The sequence below is a fragment of the Homo sapiens genome, chromosome 11 (genome assembly GCF_000001405.40).
Source record: "Homo sapiens chromosome 11, GRCh38.p14 Primary Assembly".
Classification (NCBI taxonomy): domain Eukaryota; kingdom Metazoa; phylum Chordata; class Mammalia; order Primates; family Hominidae; genus Homo; species Homo sapiens.
This window is the reverse complement of record NC_000011.10, coordinates 134,631,126-134,637,497: the sequence shown is the minus strand read 5'-3', so window position 1 is coordinate 134,637,497 and position 6,372 is coordinate 134,631,126. Positions and strand designations below refer to the sequence as shown.

Sequence of the window (6,372 nt, the reverse complement as noted above, 5' to 3'; positions counted from 1 at the left end):
TTTCCCACAGCATGTCTTCAACCCAGCTCTGGTTTCAGAGCTGCCTGAGATAGACAACTACATGCAAGTTCAGGTTCTCAGTGGAAATGCCCTGCTTCAAGCAGCGTGTGTCAGATCCTCCCTCATTCTTCCTCAGGGCCCTCCTCCCCCACCACAGCCTCTCTGTGCCTCAGCTTCTTCCAGCCTATGGCACTCGGGCCTGGAGGTCCTGTTGTGTGGCGCTGACCAAGCTCTCACCTGGCTCACCGGCCCAAGGACAAGTAGTGTAGCAGCTGTGGGAGTTAATGTCCCTGGAGACAAATTTCAAACAATGTGAGATGGGCCTCAGTGACTAAATGTCCATCCCAGTAATCTTTATGTGAAAAATTATCAGAGGTCTCAGCAAACTTTAGTCACTTTTTCTCATGGGACTTCCCTCAGTAACACACATTTACACGGGCTTTTCTTCAGGTCTTTCTTAATCTCCCTTCCTCCTCACTCCATCTTCCTGCTATCATCTTCAACATAAAACATAAAACTATTTGCACTCATCGCCGGGTCTTGGGCTCTCTGCTTCCCAAGGAAACCGAGCAAGGGCCCAGCCTGCCCAGGGTAATCACCTCTGACACCGATCATCCATATGGCTCCGATTGCCCTTCACAAGCTGTTCATCCAGCTCCAAAATCTCACCCTGAGAGCTGGCTTTCAAGAACTTCTCTCATACAATTTATGCAGCCCAATTCCCCTAAAGAGTAGAGTCAGATGTGAGGATTTAGACTCAGGCTTTACTTAATAGATGCAATCCTGATACACATGTGAAATAAATGGGAGATGGAGAAGAGAAGAATGAAAAGTAGTTCGAGGTCAGGGTATCCTGCACTGGCCTCTGCTTCCTGGTGAGCCACTGAGAAGGTGGTCAGTCACTCTGCGACTTCATCTATTCACGTCCACGGATCTCCTATGGGCTGTGCTCTATGAAACCAAACTGTGACGCGGTCCAGGGGAGAGGAGGTTGGGAGGAATGTAATTCCTTTCTGTCCCATAACCTCAGGTCTGTTTGTCTAGTTGGCCCTATGGGGAGTGGGAAGACCTCGGCGGCAGGCCCTCCTTGGGCCACAGCAGCTCATCCAAGTCTGAAAGGAGGCAGAGAGGCCCGAGCCCCAGCAATGCAACCAGTGGGCACGGCTTCACAGCCACAGCCAGGGAGTCCCAGCAAGCCAGGAGGAGGCATTGAGCAGACCACACAGCAGCGTCTCAGAGCCACGTGCAGCGGACCGGCCAATGTCAGCCGAGCACAGCGGGAGTCTGTGGGACTGGGAGGCAGGCAGGGCCGGGGAGACATGAGGAGGTGCATGGAGGCATCTTGTACTGCAAGTGTGGACAGGAGTGAGTCGGAGACTTTGTATAAGGAGTGAGATTGTGATGGGGTGGAGCATAAAAGTGATTTATAGTGTGGGAGACAGTTTGGGTCTGAGGAGACTGTGAAGAGGAAGCACAGGCAGTCTCATCCCGAGATGTGTCCAGCTCACCCCAGCATGGCAATGCCCAGGGTGAGGAGCCCCCCGCCCTACACACCGGGGTTCACTACCCCAGCACACCTGCAGCAGGCAGGGAGCTGAGTGTTTAATGGAAGCTGTGTCTGCCTTTTAGCACTCAGATTTATGCAGATATATTTTTTACATTCAGAGTTCAGACTCAAGAAAGGTTGAATTTGTAAACAATTTTGCATCTGAAGCTTCCTCTAAATGTCTGAGCATGAAGCCTGAATGGAAGTAATCAGTACATTTGTGGAGAGGAAGCACAGACCAGTGACACTAGATGGAGCTATGAATGGAGACTGAGCCTGGCCACAGCTCCCTCGAGGGGCCCTGTTCTGGAGCAGCAGGAGAAAGGGAAGCCACCGTCCTCTGGCTTCCAGGCCAGGCTCATTAACCTGGCCTGCTGTTCCTTGTAATGAGTGGAGTGAGGGCATGGGGGTGCCTCTCAGAGACACCAGAGCGGAGGGTTGGTCACGAATGCCACAGGTGTCACAAGAATCTCATCCCCTACCACAGAGAACAAGAAACGCTTTGCCTGATGAACCAGAAGGAGGTGTCAGCAACCAGGACGTCAACTGCATGTCACCCGACCAAAAGTCACGGCCACGATCACATCGGATTTGCCTGGATGCAGAGGACAATGACAAAACCAAATTGTCTTCTTTTCTGTCAGTTCGGCAAATCCATCCTTTTCATCACTGATACCTGTCAAGTCCACCCATGAAATGCCCGTGACTTCACGTATTCATTTCCCCTCGTTCTGCTCCTCTGCGAGTCCAGGCTTCACTGCTGGGGGTTTATCTTACACATCCGTCAATCTGCGACAGTTCAGGAGGGCAGGGGGCTTGGGGGACAGACACATGGAGGAGGCTCAATATGGAGGGAACCCCCCACCTGGTCTCCCCTGTAACCCCTTCCCTCAAGGGCCTCACCGGTGCAGACCCGGCCTCTGCACTCCACACGCCTGTGCACACCCACTCATTCCTTTACGGCAGCCTCGTATTCCACTCCTTGGCTTCCTTGTCTGTGTTTCTGGGCTAGTCTTGAGGGCAGGGTTGACAGCTTATTTATGTCTCTATCCCTAGCTCCATATTCAATACTTAGTGAGAAGCTTGGTAAATATTGGCTGAGTTAATGAAGAAGTAGGGCTCCAAATCAATCTGAATCAGTAAGTCTGATTAAAGTAGCAATGAATAGTTATGAATAATAGGTCAACTGTAGTTTTAAAATAAGTTAGAAAATTATCTTTTTAAAGAAGCACGTTATTGTTCCTTGGTATTTATCCAAAGGAGCTGTAAACTTACGTCCACACAAAATCCTGCACAGATGTTTACAGCAGCTTTAATCATAATGGCCCAAACTCAGAAGCAGCCAAGATGCCCTTCCATAGGTGCATGGTTAAATACACTGCAGTGTATCCAGACAGTTATTCAGTGATAAAAGAAATGCACTATTAAGCCATGAAATGACATGGAGGAAAATTAAATGCATATTATTGGCTGGACTTGGTGGCTCACACCTGTAATCCCAGCACTTTGGGAGGCCGAGGTGGGCGGATCACCTGAGATCAGGAGCTTGAGAACAGCCTGACCAACATGGAGAAACCCTGTCTCTACTAAAAATACATAATTAGCCGGGCGTGGTGGCACATACCTGTAATCCCAGCTACTCGGGAGGCTGAGGCAGGAGAATCGCATGAACCCAGGAGGTGGAGGTTGCAGTGAGCCGAGATCACGCCACTGCACTCCAGCCTGGGCAACAAGAGCGAAACTCTGAAAAACAACAACAACAAACAACAAAAAACCCGCACATGAATAAATGAAAGAAGTCAGTCTGAAAAGGCTGTCTGTTGACTGCATGTTTCCAACCGTATGACATCTGGAAAAGGAAAAGCTACAGAGACAAGAACAAGATCAGTGGTTGCCAAGGGTTACAGGGTAGGGAGGGATGGATAGGCAGAGCATGGAGGATTTTTGGGACAGTGAAACTATTCTGTATGGTACTATCAAGGTGAGTACATGTCACTACAAATTTCTTCAAACCCATAGAATGTACAATACCACGAGTGAACCCTAACATCAACTTAAGGGGGAAAAAAAGCATATTATTAAAACTGCTCACTTTCTACCAATAACAATGATAGTACAGACACAGGAGTAACATCTATTGAGCACTTACTACCTTCAGAGGCCTTGCTGAGTGCTTCACACATATTGTGAAGTTAGGTATCCTCATCTCTCGTTTGCAGATAGGAAAACTGAGGCTTCAAAAGGATAAGGAACTTGCCCAAGGTTATGCAATTAGTATGCAGCAGTGCTCTGACAGCAAATTTCCTGCTCTAAACAATCACATTTTACTGGTTTTCAGGGCAAATTTCTCTCCAGAGGACCCTGCATGGGGCTGACCAAGCACCAGACATCCTGCTAGCAGCAGGACATTAGCTAAAGAGACCCCAAGACTGATCAGCCGTGCAGTCCTCAAGGCCATCAACCCCAGGCCCTATGCACTGGGCATGGGAGGCAGCAGTGTCCAGCTTGATGGCATGATTGGCAAGCACGGGTTTCTCCAACACAACACAGTGGCTCTCCACCCACACGCAGAGTCCTCCCCGTCTCATGTATCTGTTTATCATTGCGTCCCCCAGAATGTAAACTTCAAAACAGCGAGCAATCATCTATCTTGTTCCTAGTTGAATCCTCAGTGTGTAAACCCAGCATAGTGTGGCCTGCCAGTTAATAGATGCATGCAGGAACAAATGAAATGAATAGGTGAACGGGAAAATGTATGAGGATACTACCCTATCACTCACATTATCAAATTCAGCTGAATATTGTTCTACTTATTGTATACAGACAAGAAAAAGGAGACCCAGATTGGTTATTGGCCTGCCAAGATCACTGTCTATGTGGTGTTGGTGCTGAAAAGAGGGCAGGCCCACCAGAGTTTACACCAGGCACACCGGATCCCCACCCAGCATCCCTGCTAGAGAAGGCATCTAGAGGCCACAGCAGAGTCAGAACATCAGCGGAGGCCTTCCCGCTCCAGATCCTGAGCGGTGCAGACAGGCCAGCTTGCAGCCTTTGTCTGGAGGAAGGGCTGTTTCTTCTTGTTGGTGGCACTGGTCCGTCAGCTTCCCCATGGCTCCTGTCTCACAGCTCCTGAAACAGCACAGGTCAATCGAGACACCAGAGCCAGGCCTCCCCATCTTTTTCTCAGCCCTGGCTCCCTGCTTCAGGGAATACACAGATACTCCTGCATGGGAGTAAGCCTCAGCCCCCGAGAAGGTCCACCTTCCCAGCATGAGCTCAGCAGCCCAGGCCTGGGCTCCCCAACTCGCTGCACACATGACCGTCACCCATGGCAGGCCGAGGGCTGCTGGGGCTCTGGGACTGCTCCCGAGAAACAATGGTGGGGGGCAGCCTGCAATGGGGCTGCAGACCTATACCTGGCAGGGGCCCCAGGCCTCCTCGCTCTGACCCGGCTCCTGCACTGCCGTGCTGGCCCCTGACAGCAGCGCTGGGGATGAGGCTGGAGTGCGTATGTTAACAACACAAAGAAGCTTGAGCTGCTAGGCAGGGAAGGGGATGGGCAGCTCTGCATTATTTCTGGAAGTGGTGGGAGGGAAGCAAGGGGGAAAAGTACTTAAAATATCAACGAGTGGTGCTTGGCTTAAAATTAGAAAAAAACTTCCAGAAAACAAGAATAAGGTGAGACTGCAGAAGGCGGCCTGAGGAGCTGGAATGCCATCCTCTGAGAGTGGAGCCGGGGCTCCGAGAAACACTGCGTGCAGGGGATCATCGCAAGTCTCATTCCGAGATGTAACAAACGTAGGCATCAACATTTACTGAGTACTTGCCAGGTGCTATGGATGGGGTGCTTGTGTTCCCCCAGGTCCTAGGTGGAAACCCTAACCCCAGGGTGACGATATTAGGAGGTGGCGCATTGGGAGGTCATTAGGTCATAGGACAGCATCCTCATGAGAGAGATTCATGCTCTTAGAAAAGGACATCCTGGTCGGGCGAGGTGGCTCACGCCTGTAATCCTAGCATTTTGGGAGGCCGAGTGGGTGGATTGCCTGAGCTCAGGAGTTCGAGACCAGCTTGGGCAACACGGTGAAACCCCGTCTCTACTAAAATACAAAATAATTAGCTGGGCGTGGTGGCTTGCACCTGTAGTCCTAGCTACTCAGGATGCTGAGGCAGGAGAATTGCTTGAACCCGGGAGGCAAAGGTTGCAGTGAGCAAGATCATGCCACTGCACTCCAGCCTGGGTGACAGAGCAAGACTCCATCTCAGAAAAAGAAAAAGGCACCCCTCACCCCTTTCACCCTTGAAGATGTCATCAGGAAACAGGCGCTGGCCAGGCATCAAGCCTCCTGACACCTTGATCTTGGACATCCAGCCTCCACAGCTGTTTTAAATCATGTCTGTCATCGGCAGGCTGCCCAGGCCAAGGTGCTTTGCTATAGCAGTCAGAACGGACTAAGACATCAGTGACGGGCACCGCCTCATTACACACCAACACAACTTCATTATTAACCCATCTTAAAGGTGTGGCTTCAAGAGGCTAAGTAACTTTTCAAGATCAGGTGTGCAGGTGGCTCCCCAAGTTCTCAGCCTAGTGGGACTCTGGGGGATAATGTAACCGATGCTTCCCTGTCTGCAGGGAATCAGGGGAGAGCAGAAAACTCTGGTGGGCACCAGGGACCAGGGCCCCAGATGACACTGGGGTACCCGAGGGTGAAACTGCCAATCTGTCCTTCCCAATGTAAATACATTACGGGTCTTCAAACCCCTTTGACTCCTCAACAGGCAGCTCAGCGATGCACCGAGCAGAGTGCTCAGCACGTAGGTAG

The 6,372-nt window shown here is 50.7% G+C and overlaps 1 annotated feature.

Moving 5' to 3' along the window:
- Positions 1 to 131: a silencer, noted in NCBI's record as "fragment chr11:134507261-134507391 (GRCh37/hg19 assembly coordinates)". NCBI's record gives its function as "represses an EF-1alpha promoter that drives an FKBP-Casp9 reporter gene in an ReSE screen in HepG2 liver carcinoma cells {active_cell/tissue: HepG2}" and the evidence as "EXISTENCE:reporter gene assay evidence [ECO:0000049][PMID:32094911]".